Genomic DNA, 20659 nt, shown 5'->3' on the forward strand with positions numbered 1-20659 from the left:
CTCTTTACCTTCCCCATTCACAGGGCCTGGCTATCAGAGGCTGCAGGTGACACAAGTGGCACATCGCGTCACACAGCAGCCAAAGGAAGACCAACTCCTAAACCAGAACCCATTTCCACGCAGCCCCCAGCAATCGCCTGATCACAGTCCCCTCCGCCACTCCCCTTCTGGTCTCCGTTTCACTGCTTCTTATTTGGGCTCTCAGGACAAAGAACCAAAGTTTCAGCAGGACGATGGCCACGGAAGTCAGAATCCGCTAAGGAGTGTATAACAACTCACCTGCCAAATCTTAAAAAGGAAAAAAAAAAAAAGAAAAAGAAGAAGAACCGATGTTTCAAGAGAAGCAGAAGGCTAAACACTCCCAAGAGTGAGGCGAACGCGAGGCAGTAAGCGAATCTTCCTACTGCTGTCTGACAGGTTGTCATTAGGAGCGGAGGAGGAACACCCTCTGGACACGTCCCCTTAAGTGCACTCAGCACCAACTCAGGGAGAGCACCCACTTGCAGGGTCATCCAAATGCCAGCACTCACACCCTATTAATAGTGTCGAGCACTGGAATGAAGCAGATTGCGGGGCGGTGGGTCACTGCATTTAAGACATATTGGACTCGAGCTTCTAACCTTCAGCAGGTGATACAGTCAAAGGCACCCTTAAAACTGAGGGGTAGTGAGGCTCGAGGTAGGGGAGACATCTATGGGGCTATCTTACCTGCCTCGCCACCCTCCGTGCCTCCCAGTAGGGCTTGGAGTCTTCCACAGCTTTGCCAATTTTCTTCACCAGTTCATCCAGTTTCACCGTTGCTTCAACCAGAACAGAGCGGAACTTCTGACGAGCATCCTGCAGCCAGGGGAAACCGAGGAAACACAGTTGAGGCTTAAGAAGGGATCTGCAAACACCTACTGGACCTAGACAGAAACATCAACAAAGGACTTTACCCAACGTACAGACCCCTAAAGTAGCACCTTTACAAGACAGTGTCTAGAGCAGCACCGCCCAAAACAGCTTCCTGCCACGGCGGAAACGTCCTGTGCTCTGCACAGTGCAGTGTGGCGGCCACCAGCCACGTGTGGCTACTGAGCACTTAAAACTGGCCGGTGTGACTGAGGAAAGGAGTTTTTAGTTTATTTAATTTTAATCATCTCGGGTGTGGTAGCTCACGCCTGTAATCCCAGCACTTTGGGAGGCCGAGGCAGGCCCATCACTTGAGGTCAGGAGTTGGAGACCAGCCTGGCCAACATGGCAAAACCCCATCTCTACTAAAAATACAAAAATTAGCCAGGCGTGGTAGCAGGTACCTGCTGTCCCAGCCACTCAGGAGGCTGGGGCACAAGAATCTCTTGAACCCAGGAGACAGAGCTTGTGGTGAGCCAAGATCATGCCACTGCACTCCAGCCTGGGTGACAGAGCACGACTCTGTCTCAAAAAAAAAAAAAAAAAAAGCTTAGTAAGCAACAACAACGCAAAGTTTCTGAGCACCTACTGTGTATGTGCACAACATGCTGTGCACTGTGGGGGAGATATCGGTAGGATGGACCCTTTGGAAATTAAGCCCGTCTCTACTAAAAATACAAAAATTAGCCGGGCATAGTGGGGGACACCTGTAATCCCAGCTACTCAGGAGGCTGAGGCAGGACAATCATTTGAATCAGGAGGCAGAGGTTGCAGTGAGCCGAGATCGTGCCACTGCACTGCAGCCTGGGTGACAGAGTGAGACACTGTCTCAAAAAAAAAAAAAATTAATTCATTATATTTAAAATTTTTTAATTAACATGGCTAGCAACTACTATATTGCATAGCACGGTATAGATTAAAAAGCTTTGTCCAGGACCTCTGGACAGCATGTTGTCAAAGCTCAGGACTTTAATCAGAGACATAGATTCAACACTGACCAAACCTCTATCTGGGGAAGAATGTCCAGCCATCTCTGACAGCTTCAGTCCAAATGATGCTGTCAATGTTAAACACTGAGTGCAAATTTATTTATTTATTTACCACATGCCAGACCTGGTGCTGGGCCTTGGGCGTGGCCCTGTCTCCAGGGCACTTACAGCCTGGTGGGTGAGGTAGGTATTACAGCCCGTTCCAGAAAAGTCAGTGCCAGGGTGGGAATGGTCCAGTCGCCATGGAACTCAGCAGGGAAGAATGGCGCCAGACCATGTATTAGAGGGAGAGTCACAGGAAACTTCCAGAGGAGTACTATCTAAACAGAAGTCCAAAGCATGAATAGGAAATTGGGGGAGGGGAGGAAAATACTGAGTCCCAAGCAGGCAGCAGAGCCTGTGTCCAGATAAGAGGGGAATGGGAACAGCATGGTGTCTGCAAGAAACTGAAGGAGGCCGGAGGTCTGGAATGTGGAGAATGGCAAGAGATAAGGGTGGCCATCCATCCTGGCGACAGCAACTAGCAACTTGGACCTTGATAGGAGTTAGGAAGGCAAAGAAGGACTGTGCAAGGCTTAATCATGTTGTAAAAGTCAAGAAACCAGATCCAAGAGGTATAAGGAGAGAAAAAAAAAATTAAATAAGTTAGTCCCAGGTCTAGGAGGACCTATTGGAAGGGATCAGGTCAGTGATTCAAACCCCACATCCCCTCTACCTCTCCCTCAGGCATCTGCCTGACAAAGCCACACCTAGGGGAAGGAAGGACACATGCATGAGTTTAAAAAAAAAAGAGAAATGGCAGCCGGGCACCATGGCTCATGCCTGTAATCCCAGCACTTTGGGAGGCCGAGACGGGTGGATCATGAGGTCAGGAGATCGAGACCATCCTGGCTAACAAGGTGAAACCCCATCTCTACTAAAAATACAAAAAAAAATTAGCCAGGTATGGTGGTGGGCACCTGTAGTCCCAGCTACTTGGGAGGCTGAGGCAGGAGAATGGCGTGAACCCGGGAGGCGGAGCTTGCAGTGAGCTAAGATCGCGCCACTGCACTCCAGCCTGGGAGACAGAGCGAGACTCCGTCTCAAACAAACAAACAAAAAACTAGCTGGGCATGGTGCCGTGTGCCTATGGCCAGGGCGGAAAGATCGCTTAAGCCCAGAAGGTTGAGGCCGCAGTGAGCCAAGATCACACCACTGCACTCCAGCCTGGACGACAGACCCTGCCCTGTCTCAAAACAAAAACAAAAGAAAAGAAAAGAAAAGAAAGGGGAAGTGGATACTCCAAAAGAACAACACATGATCATGAGCTATGGGCCTGGAGACTCAACACCCACCTGCTGGTAAAACATGTGTTTCATTGGCTAGAGGGGCCTGCCTCACAAGTAACTATCAGAAAAATTTTATGTTATTTTGAGACAGAGTCTCACTCTGTCACCCAGGCTGGAGTGCAGTGGCATGACCTCAGCTCACTGTAACCTCTGCCTCCCGGGTTCAAGCAATTCTCGTCCCTCAGCCTCCCAAGTAGCAGGAACTACAGGTGTGCACCACCACGCCAAGCTAATTTTTTTTTCGTATTTTCAGTAGAGATGGGGTTTCGCATGTTGTCCAGCCTGGTCTCAAACTCCTGGCCTCAAGTAATCTACCCGCCTAGGCCTCCCAAAGCGCTGGGATTACAGGTGTGAGCCACGGCACCCAGCCGACATTTTATTTCTAAACATGCAATTGCAGGGGTTTCATGGGGGCAAAGGAGGCTCTGATCAGTTCTAATTCATTCCATCATCCCAAGCTGTTGGCTTGCTAGTGGGTTTGAAAACGCCGCCGGCATTCCAAAATATGAGGATAAAAGCTTTACCTCCCATGGGAGCACCTCAGCTCCCGAGCCTGGATCCCATGTCCAACACAGGCTTTGCCCCCTTTCCCCTGGTTCTGTGCCATCATCATCATCCTGATTTCCTCTGCCTTCTCCCTTATCAGACCAGGCTTAGGGTCATCCGCTGCAGCTTCTACAGGCAGAAGACAAGACTAGACTTGTTCTCCAGGGGAAGGGCCCAAGGAATAGAGAAGCCCCACAGAGCTTCTACAGGACTTGGCTTCCAATAAGAGGGAAGCAGCATGCTGTCAAAGCCCAGGATTTTAATCAGAAACACAGATTCACTGCTGACTAAAGCTCTTTCTGCAAGGCCCTAATCAGGGCCGTCTCTATGAACCATTTGTATTACCTATAAAATTGTTACTTTCCATCCCATAGGGAGGGCTCTTAGAAGGAATCAAGGAGAATACAAATGTAAAACATTTAACAATTTCTGGGCACACAGTCAGTGCTCAATAAATGCATACAATTTTTTTCCTCCTGGTATAAAAAGAGACCCTGAGACCCTATTAAAAACCACCCAGGGAGTTTCCCAGAGGCGAGGGCAGCTGACACGGTGGACATAATAACCTGTTCCACTGTGCAGGCAGCCGCTCTGCAAGATGCACTCGCATGCATGACCGCATCCTCACGGTCACCTCCCTGGTGGTGGCCAGTGCCAGTGCTGTCCACATTCACACCAGTGAGAAAACGGAGGGCCAGATCGGTTAGCGTGTGGCCTACAGCCGGTCACATCAACCCCCAGGCCTACTCTGTTAAATGAGAATTGAGCCCCAAAGCAGTGGCCTACGGGCCAATAAGCTTAGTACATTTGGCTGATATGCTGTGTAGTAAACGTCAGGGAAAATTCACATTTAAAAAAAAAATGAATTCTCAAACTTTTCATTTAAAGAAAAAAAATAGCTAGAAGCAGAGCAGAAGGTGCCCCCTTAGGCAGGGGTTACCCTCCTCTCCAGTCCCTATCACTCTGGTGTCTGAATCACTCATTCAGGTTCCCTGCCCAGCCGCTAAAGATATCTGATTTGCTGAGAGCTCTCTGGGGCACTGGTGAATACAACCCACCAACGCTGCCTTTGTGGAGAAAGAAGGATGGATACAGGGCACAGACTGACTGACTGCTATGTGGCAGGCACTACTGTCAGTGCTTTAACCCCACCAATTTGTGCAATCGCTAACAATCCTAACAGGTAGGTGCTATTGTTGTTATTCACATTTTATAAAGGAGGAAATAGAGGCAAGGAAAAGAAAGGTAACTTGCCCATGGTCACAGAGCTGGGAAATGGCAGAGTGAACAATTAAACTCAAGCAGTGCTAAGACTACTTACACACGTTGAGCAACAGACACACGGCTGAGAAGGCCACCCAACCCAAGTCAGACATGAAGAAAGAGGATTCCACCAGACAGAGAAGGGGGACATTCGACCCTCCAGCACGGACGGACGGGCTGGCCTGGTAGGGGCTGGAGCAAGGACGCCTCCTGGCCATTATAAAGGCATCTGAACTCAATCCCATGAACAATGGGAGGGCATGGCACAGTGGGGAGAAGGGGAGATTACTTCTTGTTTCTTTCTTTGCAGAAGATTTTCTGGTGCTAGTTCATCACTGAAATTCTGTCTCCCTCTGCTATTCTCTACTTGCCATTTCTCTTCCTTTGGCCATAAATCACATCTCAAAATCAAACCTTTTAACCTAGTTCTATGTGATGGGTTTTCTTCCCATAGGGTTACTTAAGTCTCAAGTAATTTATTTCCAATGCACCCTTTGTCAGAAATAATTAAAGAATGCATTCTACCACAAAAAGGAAACATAATCATAGTTTACTAGATGGCTCAACTGTGAATAGCACTTACCTAGCTGCAATAAAGTAATCAAATACTGACCACAATGGATTCTGCTGAGAAGACAGCAGATGGGAAAAGTACAGGACAGAGGGTGAAAAGAGACAAAACCTCATCTTCCATAGCAGGATGTCCACAGATAGTCACTCAAATGAAAAAAATCAAGAAGTAGTCACACAATACATACTACTTGGTCATAGAAATAAATACCTCCATCAGCTAAAATACATTAAACTAATATAGTTAACTGGCTAGGGGAGAAAAAAACAGGGGTAGGGTGGGAGAATGGGATAGTATAGGGCTTTTTGTTTGATTTTGTGTTTTTGTTTTTGGGGGTTTTTTGGGTTTTTGTTTTCACTTGATCTTAGCCAAAAGGCCGAGAATCGATGGGGTTTTTGTCTTCTTAAGAGACAGAGTCTTGCTATGATGCCCAGGCTGGAGTATGGTGGCTATTCACAGGCATGATCATATCACACTGTGGCCTCAAACTCCTGGGCTCAAGGGATCCTCCTGCCCTTTCCAAGTAGCTGGGACTACAGGTGTACAACACCATGCCTGCTTTTTTGTTTTCAACTGTAAAATATCATAGATTTTTCTAAGCAGGGGCATGACCTGATCAAATTTAGGTTTTACAAAATTGTTACCTGGGTGCAGAGTATGTTAAAAGACTCCTCAGGTGATTCTGATGGGCAGGTTCAGGGCCTGCCAGTCTGACTTGATGCCCTTTTTGTGACTATCTGTACTAAGTGTGTGACCATCAAAGGGTATTAAACCCAGAAGACTTGATTTGACATCAGCGTTTCCTTCTATAAATGAGGCTGTGCTGCCAGGAATGATGCATGACTGGCTGACTTCCAACCACCAACAAGCCTATTCATCAAAGATGCATTGAAACTGAACACAAAGCCAGTCTTCCCCGCTCCACCCCCCCCCCATAAGAAAAAGCCCACCCAGTTGTTTCCATTCCACTGAGGATCACAGCTACTTGGGTAACAGTTCCCAGAAGTATTGAGGTATGAGAGGCCACAAACCAAAATCTTTCCTGTCTCCCCAGTGTTACAGCCGTAATATTCCTTGGTCCTCACCCCCACCTCTCAGTCCCTAGTGATGTGACAGGGCCTGGCCACAGTCATACTCCTAGCCACAGTGATTGTTCGATGAGCAGGGGCGATAGACATGACCCATCATAACCAATGAGACTTCATTTCGGGACCTTTCTGCAACTGTTAGAGGAAATTTCTTCCACTTGAGATGTTTAAGAGGATGGAATGAAAGCCTGCAGCAGATAGCAGCCATCCTGGCATCATGAGGGGAGAGCCTAACAATAAAGCCATGTGTATAAGGAGCAGAGTCTGTGGAATTTAGTTCAACCTAGCTTTTATAAAGCATTTCTTTCAATACATCTTAAAACCACCTTGCCACAATTGAACTTAGACTTTCTGTCTTGTTTCTTAAAGAAAAGACTTGACTGTGATCCTTTGTCTCCTGCAATTACAAGCAAATGTGTTTTCCAAGATCAGAGTGGGGGTGGCTTCAGGAATGTCCAGGGAGGAGAGTAAGCTGACTGCTTTCCCTGCAGAAAATGAGCCATGGAGGGGAGTGGCTCAAAAGTACAAACTTATCTGAGAGAGCAAGCAGATCTTCCACCAGTCAAGAAAAAGAATCCGTTTACCATCCCAGGGCTGTTTACCAAGGGAGTTTTTAGATCAGCACTTGAAAGAGTTCTTAAACAGTTCCCTCTGCTTGGAGGAGGCCTCAGCTCTTCAAATGTGAAAATTGTGTTTCATCCATTAGGTGACTCAGACTGAAGGTAATTTATTCAAGCAAAGAATTGCTGGGGGTGGTAGAGTCTCCCTGTTTGACTGTGTCAGTGTGTCAGACAAACAGCCTTGTGTCAGATAAGAGCTCAAGCTAAACCACACCAGCCAGCACCAGTATACAGTGGAAGCAGCATGCAGGTTGAACATGAAGCACACAGGATGAGTCAGTGTTTTCTGGCCAATCGCTCACCTGCTCACCTCAATTACCTTGCCTGGAAACTGAGAATCCTGGCTTTTCCTCTTCACAGGTGTCCCCAGAATTAAGTGAGATAAAGATGGGATGGTGATGTTTTAAAAATAACTGTCCTACATGTTAGAGACGACACCAAACTTCAAAAGATCCTTACTAATGCCATTTACAAGTATACCACTTTCAGTTGGCAGAAAGAGGTTTCCCAGGCATTATCTGAGACACACAACAACCCTGTAAAACAGGCTCAGCCAGAATTTCCATCCCGAGTTTACAGATAAGAAAACTGGAGGCCAGGTGCGGTGGCTCACTCCTGTAATCCCAGCACTTTGGGAGGCTGCAGGCACATCACCTGAGGTCAGGAGTTCGAGACCAGCCTGGCCAACATGGCAAAACCCCATCTCTACTAAAAACACAAAAATTAGTCGGGCATGGTAGGTGCCTGTAATCCCAGCTACTCGGGAGGCTGAGGCAGGAGAATTGCCTGAACCCAGGAAGTGGAGGTTGCAGTGAGCTGAGATCACGCCACTGCACTCCAGCCTGGGTGACAGACATTCTGTCTCAAAAAAAGAAAAACAAAGAAAACTGGAGCCTTGGAGTTCCAGGTGACCTAATGTCTTTGCATAAAGTCACAGGACTATCAAGTGTCAAGCGTTAGATGTAAGCAGACATCTTCAGTATTTTTTGTTTTTTGTTTTTTGAGACAGGATCTCTCTCTGTTACCCAAGCTGGATGCAGTGTCGCAATCATGGCTCACTGCAGCCTCCACCTCCTGGGCTCAAGCAATGCCCCTACCTCAGCCTCCCAAGTAGCCGGGACTAGAGGCACGTATGACCACACCCGGCTAATTTTTAAATTTTTTGTAGAGATGAGGTCTGTGTTGTCCAGGCTGGTCTCAAACTCCTGGGCTCAAGCGATTCTCCTGCCTCGGCCTCCCAAACTGTTGTGATTACAGGCGTGAGCCACTGCAACCAGCCATCTTCAGTCTTGTAGTCCAGTGTGCCAGTCACTTCACCAGTGGTTCTCAGAGCGTGGTCTGGCGAAACCACTGGTGGGGGTGGGGGTGGGGCACCTGGAAACCTTTTCAAGGAGTCTGCAAGATGGAAGCCATTTTCATTAATAAAGACTTGCCATTTTCACTGTCATTCTGAGCGTTCAGTAGAGTTTTCCAGAAGCTACCTGACAGGTGACATGGCAAGAAATGACATGAAATGCAGAAGTAGGTGAGAGAATCCAGCTCTTCTATTAAGCCAGACATTAAAAAGACTTGCGAAAGCATGTACAACAATTACTCTTTCATTGAATTTTCTGTTTGGAAAAATAGTCCTTTTCCATAAAATGTATTATTTTTGTTAACATGTAATAGGCTGATTGTCATCTTAATGAATATAGACCTTAGAAATAAATGTCTTTTGATTTTTATATGGCAAATATTAATATTATCCACAAAAACAAAGCTCTCTGGGGTACTCAATGATTACCAAGAATGTGAAGGGGGACCTGCAGCCAAAAAATCTCCAGTGTGCTGCACGCCACCTGCCCTCAGGCCTGCTCTACATAAACCCCTCTTGAACCAAAGACAAGAGTGTACTTTCAATAAGAATGAAGCAGTTGTTGCTTCTCAGATCTTTTTTAAATGCTTCTGATTTTGTCAGGGAGAAAGACTCCATTTGGTACCACAATGTCTTCAGCACCTGTATACGTTTGTTAATCTCTTTCTTAAAGAAAAGGGAAGCTAATCCAGGCTCAGAGCCTTCCGTAAAGAGGGGAATCTGCTAGAATTTGATAAGGAAAACAATCCACCAGAAACAACATAACATTACTCTGAAAGTCATAAGTTGTACCCTGACAAGGTGGGCACTTCCTATATATATATTATTCTTTAAAAAAAACACCTGCTTAAAAAATGTATTTTCCTTTGATGGTTTTCCATTTATAATAAGGCTATTTCCTTTTCAAACTGAAGTAAGGCTGGGCACAGTGGCTCACGCCTGTAATCCCAGCACTTTGGGAGGCCAAGGCGGGTGGATCACCTGAGGTCAGGAGTTTAAGACCAGGCTGGCCAACATGGTGAAACCCAGTCTCTACTAAAAAATAAAAAAAATAAAAAAATAAAAAAATAGCCGGGCATGGTAGCAGGCACCTGTAATCCCAGCTACTTGTGAGGCTGAAGCAGGAGAATCGTTTGAACCTGGGAGGCAGAGGTTGCATAAGCCGAGATCATGCCATTGCACTCCAGCTTGGGCAACAAGAGCGAAATGTCTCAAAAAAATTCTGAAGTAAAAACATGAACCAATTTAAAAGACAACGTGGAATAAATAGCACATGCAGTCCTAGGATGTGGCAAAAATGATGGCGGCAGCAGCAGAATAACTGGAGTTAGGGAAATCCAGCCCTAGAATGATAGGAAAGTCTCCATTAGCAGGAACATACTAGAATTCTATGATAAAAGGCACTATGAAAACATCCTGACTTACTGGCCAGTGGTAAAGGCAACTGAAATGTTCCATTCACTATCACTTTTAATGGCAAAAACCACAATTACTTTTGCACCAACCTAATACAAATCATGCTTTCTTTTCACCCATCCAATCTATTCTCTAAGAGCACTTGTGGCAGCTACTAGAACACACAAAGAAACCACTTTAAATAGCGCTTGGGTGAAAAGGGAGCAAGTGCTCTCCAGTGCTGGCTGACGGAACTTCTGTGACGATGACATGTGCTACATCTGTGCCATCCAACACAGAAGCCACAGCCACTTGTGGCCAAGCAAACACTTGAAATGTGGCTGGTGCAACTGAGTTTTGTATTTTACTTAACTTCAAGGGGCCAGGCACGGTGGCTTACACCTGTAATCCCAGCACTTTGGGAGGCCACGGTGGGAGGATCTCCTGAGTTCAAGAGTTTGAGACCAGGCTGGGCAACATAATGAAACCCCATCTCTACTAAAAACACAAAAATTAACCTGGTGTGGCACTGCATGCCTATAGTCCCAACTACATGGGAGGCTGAGGCAGGGGGATTGCTTGAGCCTAGGCGGTCAAGGCTGCAGTGAGCCAGGATCGTCCCACTGCACTCCAGCCTGGGTGACAGAGCGAGACTCTGTCTCAAAAAATTAAAACTTAATTAACTTAGTGATTTTTTTTTAATTGTTTTTTGGGATGGAGTCTCACTCTGTCGCCAGGGCTGGAGTGCAGTGGCGCGATCTCGGCTCACTGCAACCTCTGCCTCCCAGGTTCAAAAGACTTAATGATAATTTAAATAGCTGCGTGTGGCTAGTGGCTGCCCTATTGCACAGCACAGGCCTAGCCCTAGATCCTTTTCTGCTTTGAGAGATCCTGCCATGCTTTTTGGGGGCCTCAGGATGCCTTCCCTCCCGCCTCTGTCTGGTTTTTCTTCTCAGTCCCAGCTCCTGCTGGGAGGGGCTTTCATAGCCCTGAGGGCCAGAGCAAGCTGATTCTACCTTAAGAATTCTGCAGCAGAGATAGAAGCACAAAGAGTACACCAGGGCAGAGTGGGGGAGCAAGGGAGCCAAACCAGAAAGGCCAAGGCAGGAGGGTGTAGGAGCCAGGAAGAAGCAGAGGTAGAGAGCAGGGGTATGGATGAAGACCACCAGGGAGCTGGAGCCAGCCACAACACTCCTGCTCATGGCATAGGCCCAATTCCACAGCAGTTTGTGTCATCCAACTAGAAGACCCAGGTGAAACAGCCCCAAGGTGACAAATACAAATGGAAAGGAATGGAATAGGAAGAATATACTAGGATCTTCAAGTTGGGGAGAACTTCAAGATCACTGCTGGAAACCAGGGACCTAATTCCCCTTCCCCTGAGTCCTTTTCTTTTCCCATCTCAGTCCCTGACCAACTTCAGGAGTAGGGGCCCCTCAGAGTGTCAGCCAGACCTGCTACTTCCTTCTGTGAGGACTTGCCACCGTGTTTCCAATACAAGACTCCCTCTCTTAGGAATCAGAACAGAGGAAACCAGAGGAGGGAGAGACAGACAAAAACAGAGGTGAGAGACAGAAAAAAGCAAATGTGCAGAGAACCATGAGGTGGCATGGGAGGGGCAGTGAGAGATGGCCCGGGTTCCTGATTCTAATCCTGTGACAACACAGTCATATGATGTATCAATCAAACAGGACACTTTTGAGAATAAGGAGAGGCACTATTAATAACTGTGCTGGGACCACAAGCATCCACCAAGACTGCCCAGGGCCAACTGAAACATGTGGTTTCCCTACGCATCAGAGCCAGTGACACTTCCCCTCCCTTGAGTTCCATGAGACTCCTACAACCTTTCAGAAAATCCTCCCTTTAATTTAAGCTATTTGAGTGGGTTGTGGGACAAAATGCAGAATAGTCTAATCCCAGCTTGGGCATCGCGCAGCTCCAGACCCTCTGGGCAAGCCCTGTGCATTCAACAGCTTTTAGGCCACATCCTATTTCTTCACTCCAACCCTTTCCAAGGCATCACACTGCCTGTCCTTATCTGAACCACCAAGAGGTTCCTTTCACTAAGAGGACAGAGACAAGGTAAGAAAATATAAGGGTCATCATGGTTTTCTCCTTCAAGTTTCCCTCCTCTGAGGTTAACAAGGGTCTTGGACCCTTTTAAGGCCTAAGTAGAACCAATTCCCTCCTAGACAGAAAGGGTCTGGTTTAGAACTCTGATCTAACTATGAAGGGTTTCCAAACAAGCAGGTGAGCACCCAGTTCCACCTCCTAGAACATTGCAGCCCTCCTTTCAATCCTTGGCCTGTGTCAAGATTCCATAACCAAAGGGAAGTGCTGCTATTTGGAGGCTGAGTTAGGGCAAAAGGCTCTTTAACTTTTTAGTTTAAAATAATTTCAAACTTGGAAAAAATGAGGGAAAGATGCAGACACCATGCCCCTTTACCCTGAAATATTTCAGGTGCATATTTCCTAAAGATGAGGCCATCCACTTATATAACCAGAGTATAATAATCAAAGTCAGAAAATTAACATTGGTACAACGCTATTAATCTGGTCTACAACTTTCTCCAAATTGCATCAATTGTCCCACTAAATTCTTTTATAATAAAGGGCAAAAATGGTTTTCCTGGTCCAAGATCCAATCTAAGAGTCACACTTGGCATTTTGTTATCTAACACTCTTTCACCTGGAACTTTGTCTTTGTCTTTCATAGCCTCAATTTTTAAACAATATGAGCCAGTTATTTTGTAGAATGTTATTTGGAAAAGACTCGCTTTTTTTTTTTTTTTTTTTTTTTGAGACGGAGTCTCGCTTTGTCACCCAGGCTGGAGTACAGTGGCACGATCTTGGCTCACTGCAACCTCCGCCTCCCGGGTTCAAGTGATTCTCCTGCCTCAGCCTCCTGAGTAGCTGGGATTACAGGTGCCCACGACCACACTCAGCTAATTTTTGTATTTTTAGCAGAGACGGGGTTTCACCATGTTGGTCAGGCTGGTCTCGAACTCCTGACCTCGTGATCCGCTGGCCTCGGCCTCCCAAAGTGCTGGGATTACAGGTGTGAACCACATACCCAGCCAAGACTTGCTTTCAGTTCATCTTTTTTGTTGATGTTACATAGGCAACAGAATGGAATTGAACCAATTACAAAAAAATGTTTAAAATAGCCCAAGGTAGATTCTTTTGTAGTTCGTAAGTGTGATGACTGGGTATTCATGTGTGAGATAGGCCATCCTCGAATTTTTTTATGATATGATGTGGGCACATTACTCATCTGCTATGAAATGGAAAAAAAAAAAAGCCCAAGATACAAAGCACCATGAACAAAAGAAAAACCTCATGAGCCCTTTAAACGTGACAGCAAGCACAGGGGTCAGTCCTACAAGGCCCGAGAGGATGGACTGAAGTTACATAACAACCCTGCATGCACATAAGCAAGAACGTGCTCATGCACACAGCTAGAAAGACTGGGGGACCCAGTGCTTTTTCATTTATGGCCAAACACATGTTCTTAAATCCACAGGATTCTTTGTGTAAGAGGATATAGAAATGCTGAAACAGCCGTGTTTTACTGAATTCAACCACAAAAGCACTATTTCCATGTTTACGCCAGGAGGCTTCACATATGTCCTCAACTGCAAGACCTACGATTTTCTTCAAAAATTCACAATCATTAGATTTCAGACAGATTACACCACTGATGTGCATGTTTATTTGGGCTGATGTTTCAACCACCACCCAAGCTGTTATGAAATATAAGGTCCACTTTATAATTAGCACAAGTCTTAGAATCAGGGCGATATGGCGAGTTCATGGCCCAGCCTCAGAAAGCTCTAGAGATCAGTTAGTGTAGCCTGCACAGGAATCACACATCCACCCACCACAGCATTCCAGGCAGGCTGGCTGGCTGACTTCTTCTGGCTTTTGGATAACCTCCCTCCTGCCTTCAGCTAATCAAAATGTTAAGAAAGGAGAGCACAGGATGCAAAAGAGCCAAAGTCAAAGTCAATGGCTGTAACTTTAGAGACACAGGAGATATGACCAGAAGGAACAACTAAAAACATCATTTCATTGGAATAGAACTAGGGGTGCGGGGGAGTGAGGTAGAGGACTTTCATTTTTCATTATAACTTATCAGGGGCTCTTTTAAAAAAGCTATATTCAAGTATTGTTTCAACAAAAATAAAATTTTAAGTCTATTACAGCATAGATTGACTACAGAGCTTTTGTATTTCTCCAGCTGTCAAGAACAAAGGTGGTTCAAAATTTATTCAACATGTGGCTAGATCAGAATGCAGATCCCAGTCAAACAATATCAGGGCTGGAAAAAAGTGTGCCCATCTTTTAGTTTAGATGCTCCCATTTCACTGATGAAGTGACTGAAATCTCGGGAGATAAAGATCCTCTCCCAAGGAGCTATACCTGATTAATATCAGGGCAAAGATTGAAAACCTGGTCCCCCAAGTCCTAGACAGCATTCTTTCATCTAAGCAGCCTCAGTGGGGGTCTCAGAATATGCATCTGCTATGCCTCCAAACACAAACTATTTAAGGGTATGGGCTCCAGCCTCAGATTTCTGGATTCATTATACATCCTGGCTCTACCACTCCCTGGCTGTGTGACCTGAGAGAATTGACTTATTCACTCAGTGTCTCCCTTTCTCATCAACATTCTGAAGGACTGTTGTGAGAATGAATAGGATAAACTATAGTAGCCACTTAGCACAAAACTTAGCATATAATAACCTTTCACAAAATAGTGGTTATTTTTACTTAGGTGCCATTATTTAATAACTGGCTAAGGGGCTGGAGGAGGAAAGGATCAACATTTGTTGGACATATATGCCAGGTACCATGCCAGACACTTAACGAACATCACCATATTTAACCCTTAACAGCCCTGGTAAGACAGGTATTGCCCTTCACATTTTAGAAGGAAATTAAACCTAGATAAGCTGATATAACTTACCAAGACTGTACGGCACATTAAGAGGCAGAGAGAGAATTCAAATCCAGCTCTGAGCTCCAAAGCCCACACTTTCCACCATCATATGCTATGCAGCTATGTAGTTTAGTTTCTGTCAGCTCCAAAAAAAAAAAAAAAAAAGCTTTCCTATGTTTTTGTTTTTGTTTTTTTTAAGACAAGAGTCTCGCTTTGTCACCCAGGCTGGAGTGCAGTGGCATGACCTTGGCTCACTACAACCTCCACCTCCCAGGTTCAAACGATTCTTGTGCCTCAGCCTCCCAAGTAGCTGGGATTACAGGCATGCACTGCAATACCTGGTTACTACTTTTTCTTTTTTGTATTTTAGTAGAGATAGGGTTTCGCCATGTTAGCCAAGCTGGTCCCAAATTCGTAGCCTCAAGCCATCTGCTGGCCTCGGCCTCCCAAACTACTGGGATTATGGGCGTGAGCCACTGCGCCCAGCCTCCTATGCTTTTTTGACCCGAAGTTTCATAACATTGAAGTGTGGTTTTAACAAGTTCCAAGTGGGGAAGCAGATTTAATTTCTATCAAATAAATGCAATACCGGGACTCTCTTTCCCCAGAGAAGACCCAGCAAAACCAGTGGCAGGGAAAGAAAACAGCACATCTATCTGGAATAGCCCAAGGGGCTTTAGAACCCTACCACCCTGAATTACAAAGCAACAGTCTAATTATTGTAGTACCTCTGGCTCTAGGCTCCACTAATTTTTTCTAATAGGTATTGAAGCCATGCCATAATTTTTTTCTCAGACAAAATTTTTAAGAAATGGGCAAAGTGGCGAAGAATTCCCTATGGCAAGGCCCACAGCATTGCTAAAAACTGTCCATCTTGCCTTTATCGTTGCTGGTTTATTTAAGGTCACTGGGAATACTAACCAAAGTCCTTGCTTTGCTGGCTGGTTAACCATTAAAGCACCTCAAGAAGACACTAAAATGTGGTTGTTTATGAAGTCTCCCCACAGAAAGGAAGGGAGGAAAGGAAGAAAGTATATGTCCTATGGGCCTCAAAATAAGCCACTGTCTCTACATCACCATGAGGGTTGCAGTTTTCAAATATGGCCTACAATTCTTTGGCACTGCCCCAGGATCAAGAAGAATTAGAATGCAGGTGGGCTCATGACTGCTTGGACCAACAGATTATAATAGAAGAGCTGCTCTGAAGGTTTCAAGGCTTAGTCAGAAAAAGCCAGGAAGCTTCCACCTGGTCATCTTAGGACACTCACTCTGGAAGGAGCCAGAAACCAAAAGGAAGCAAAAGTACCACACTAGAAAGGTCACACGTAGGCACTCTGGTTGCAACTCCAGCTGAGCTCCCAGCATAAGCTTTCAGAGCCAGCATCCTCTGTCAGACACAAGAGTAGGCCATCTCTGACGTCCAACCAAGCCCTCAAGGACTACAACCAGGCTGACATCTGACTGCATAAAACTCCTCAAGCAAGGACCGCCCAGCTGAGCCCTCTCAAAACCCTCTCCAAATTCCTGACCCACAAATCATAGGCAAAATAGAACAGTTGTTTTAAGCTATTACGGCTTGGGATAATTTGTTAGGGAGAAACAGTAACCAGAACAATGAAGAAGAAAAACACCCCCTTTCTTCTTCCAATAAAGCCAAAAATCAAGTAAGAGAACATTAAATCTGTGCACTTCAAATCTAGCAAAATGAAGCTGAATCCCTTTGCATGCTGGAAACAAAAGGGTGTGGTGAATGAAGACAACCAAATCCCATTCATCATGCTTTGGTTGGGTTTAATGCCAAACAATAAAAGATTTATATTAAGAGGGCTGGGCTGCAGTTATAATAAACAGCGGATATTCCTCTCATTGTCTCCCTGATAGCAGTTTCTTTCTGTTAGAGCAAACATTAACATCTCTTAGATAATCCAGCAAAACACAGCAAAGGAAAAAAAAATCAGGCAAGAATAGAACAAAATTTTTTCCATCTTCCTTTAAGGAAATGAAAGAGGCTGACTTGCTGAGCTCTCCAAGAGCTGCTTTGCAAATTCTGTGATACTCTTGGTTAAAATGCACTACAAAAAAGCAGTATAGTCTTTAATGTTGGAAACATCTATGTGGCAATCGGCAGACTAAGTAACTCTCAAAGAGAAGGGCTGGGCAAAGTTACCTGGGCTGCCTGCCAAAGGATGAGGTTCAATAGAGGTTTAATTCATCCAGCCAAAACACACACACACACACACACACACACACACACACACCCCACTACGTTAAAGTCCCTACAACAAATGCTGACAAAGAAAAATAACAGCTCAAAATTAAAAGGCTACAGTCCACAGGGACCACATCTCTGTCAACCTGGGGATTTGAAGATTCTCATTAACCACAGGGATAGCAATGAATCCATCAACCCCCATAGCCTGTCTTCTTTTGAGATGACACCTCAGAGTCACAGGGTAGGCACCTTGAATACAGCTGGGGATACAGTCACATGATTTGTAGGAAAGTCGGCGTGTACTGCAATAGCAAGCACTTATGATCCTGCCATGGGTTTCAGCTGAGGGGCCAGAAGAGTTTGTATATTATCTTGTTGATATTTGTAGCTTAAAAGGAAGAAACGCCTAGGATTTTTTAAGGCAATACAGTCCATGTCAATATTAGACAGCTATTTCTATGTTCTAGCCAATGGCCAGAACATGTTTTGGCCACTAATAGCATTTTGCTAATGTGGTTACCATGAATGAAGTTGTGCAAGAACCTATACGTGCCCACATTTATTGATTTAGAAATGATGCTAACAGTCAAATACACAGAGTAACTAAGTTCAAATATCTAAATATTCTTAATATTTGGAATGTTTTCCATTATATCTTGATTTATTGTATTTTCTAAATAAGCATATATATGACGGTTTCTTGGCTGTAGAAGATCCTAAAGTGCCTTTATAGCACTTTTCATCCTTCCATGAATTACAACTAGAGTAGCTTAACAATACACTAATTCATCAAGCAAACCCACAACATCAGGTTTTATCTACAATTAAGGCAGGAACAACCAATCCAAGGTTTTTCCCATCAGCCTTCATAGTTCCTAAAATTCCTTCCAGAGAAATTCATTTATTTGGCTTATAAAGACTTTTTTTTTTTTTTACAACAGACTTCATTCCCCACCCCCATCCCATGAAAATTATAACAGATGGTCATTGTAAATATTTCAGAAAACACCAAGAAATGAAAACTAAAAATCACCAGCATCCTCAGCAGCTAGCAACAACTGGTAACATCTGAGGGTACATTTTTCTAGAGCCAGGCTTCTCAAACAATGTGGTGATGGATCTTCTCCCATCCAATCCACCGTAAATCAATATTTCTGTAGAATAAAAACAAACTAGGAAAGTAAAATGCCACCTGGATGTCACAACATCAAATTGCCAAAAAAAAAAAAAAAATCTAAAGTCTTACTCTCAATTTCTGTATTTACTTCACCATAACTGGTAACAAGCAGTTCACATTCTTTGGCCCACACAAGAATAACTATGTTAGGGCCAGGCACGGTGGCTCATGCCTATAATCCCAGTACTTTGGGAGGCCAAGGCAGGTGGATCATTTGAGGTCGGGAGTTCGAGATCAGCTTGACCTACATAGTGAAACCCCGTCTCTACTAAAATACAAAAATTAGCCAGGCATGGTGGTGGGCTCCTGTAATCCAGCTACTTGGGAGGCTGAGGCAGGAGAATCGCTTGAACCTGGGAGGTGGAGGTTGCAATGAGCCAAGATCATGCCACTGCAGTCCAGCCTGGGCAACACAGTGAGACTCCATCTCAAAAAAAAAAATAATAACTATGTTAGGCCTGTCTTCTCATATGCATATATTCTTTTACTATATATATGGTTCTAGATATGCTCTATATAGTTTTATATATATTTTATGTATAGTTTTTTTTCCCCCACTAAGTAGACCATGGCCATTTGTCCATATCCACACATCATCTTTTTTTAAAGTGAAAGGCCACTCTTAAAATGCTAACGCCCCCAAGCAAGGCAGAATCTTACATGTTCATGAGCCAACATGTGCCTAAGTGGACAGGTTCTGGGGAGGGAAAGGAGAACACAAGGTTGTGTTTTACCAGTGTCACAACTGTCCTCACGGTCAGTCTGTCCAAGAACAGCCTGGGAGGCCGGGTGTGGCGGCTCATGCCTGTAATCCCAACACTTTGGGAAGCCGAGGCAGGAGGACTGCTTGAGCCCAGGAGTTTGAGACCAGCCTGGGCAACAAGGAGAGACCCCATCTCTACAAAAACAAAAATTAGCCAGGCGTGGTGGCGCACTCCTGTAGTCCCAGCTACTTGGGAGACTGAGGTGGGAGGATCACTTGAGCCCAGGAGTTCGAGGCTCCAGGGAGCTATGATTGTGCCACTGCACCCTACCCTGGGCAACAGAGACCAACACTGTCTCAGGAAAAAACAAAAACAAAGCGGGAGGCCGGGCGCAGTAGCTCACGCCTGTAATACTAGCACTTTGGGAGGCTGCAGTAGGCGAATCATTTGAGGTCAGGAGTTGACCAGCCTGACCAACATGGCAAAACCCGGTCTCTACCAAAAACACAAAAATTAGCCGGGTGTGGTGGCACATGCCTGTAATCCCAGCTACTCGGGAGGCTAAGGCACGAAAATCGCTTGAACCTGGGAGGCAGTGGTTGCAGTGGCAGAGATCACATCATTGCACTCCGGTTTTTGAGACCCTGTCTCAAATAAATAAATAAATAAATAAATAAATAAATAAATAAAGCAGGGCTCACTCAGGGAAACTAATTTTCACATTACAGCAGGCAGGCCACAGCGCAACGCCCTGCTGATCCAGTGACTACAAAGTCCATCCCGCTGTAATCCTGGCCTGTATGAGCCCTCCCTCTGACCCCCTTCCCAGTGCCAATCTGACAAAGAAAGGTCATGGCAGGACCTGGGGGAAGAGAACAACAGAGCCACTGCCAGGCCCCATGGCCAGTTTGGCCCCAGTGGACATCTCATTGGAACCTTCTCTGTTTGCAGCGCCCAGCGGGTCTCAGCCCTCCCTGCCAGCCAAGCACACAGGGGGCCCTCTTGTCCACTCAGGCTGGGCAGCTCTCAAAGCACTCTCTCACACAGCATCCCTTACCATCCTCCAGGCTACCCAGGGATGTAGGCAAGAATTGCAGCCCCCAGATTCAAAGACAAAGAGACTGAGGCTTCCATGTGCCAAGTATCCCTAGAAGTCAGCAGACCTCTGATTTCAGCCTGTATCACCTGATGTCAAGACAGCTGTCTTCCCTCCACCTGCCCTTCCCCACGGCTTTGGGTTTTGGTTATTTCACAGCAAAAACTGAGACACAATCCCATTTTAAAGAAGAAGAAATTGAGGCACAGAAATTACATAATCTGCCAGAGGTCCCACAGCTATGAAGAGGGAGCTGGGATTCAATGCCAGGCGGTCTGGCTCCAGAGGCCAAGCTTTGCCGGCTGTCCTATAGCTAAGTCACTCTACAAGTTTCAAATGTTTCTCCACTCACCTACTTCCCCAAAGGGAAATAAGCAGTATGGGGGGACCACTGAAGCCCAAGGCCTTCAGTACCACCATTCTGATGGCCAAACTTCAAGTCAGAGCTATGGGGGCAGTGCAGCAGCCCTGGCTCAGGCTA

The 20659-nt window shown here is 45.5% G+C and overlaps 1 protein-coding gene and 1 non-coding gene across 8 annotated transcripts in view; one reads left to right on the forward strand and one right to left on the reverse strand.

The window, feature by feature from the left end:
* The window catches only part of SH3BP5 (SH3 domain binding protein 5), an 87028-nt gene that overhangs the window by 49042 nt on the left and 17327 nt on the right, over positions 1-20659 (reverse strand). For 6 of the 7 annotated variants that reach the window (XM_047449242.1, XM_011534251.3, XM_047449240.1 and 3 more), the window contains one exon: positions 709-837. In XM_047449242.1, coding sequence (XP_047305198.1) covers positions 709-837 — 129 coding nt within the window. Of the gene's footprint in view, positions 1-708; positions 906-20659 lie in introns of all 7 variants that reach the window. The other variant, NM_001018009.4, reaches the window with a different exon arrangement.
* On the forward strand, positions 13226-13328 carry LOC124906370 (small nucleolar RNA U13). The gene has a single exon (XR_007096337.1). It is a non-coding gene; the product is annotated as a small nucleolar RNA U13 (small nucleolar RNA).

Source organism: Homo sapiens, chromosome 3 (genome assembly GCF_000001405.40).
Source record: "Homo sapiens chromosome 3, GRCh38.p14 Primary Assembly".
NCBI lineage: Eukaryota > Metazoa > Chordata > Mammalia > Primates > Hominidae > Homo > Homo sapiens.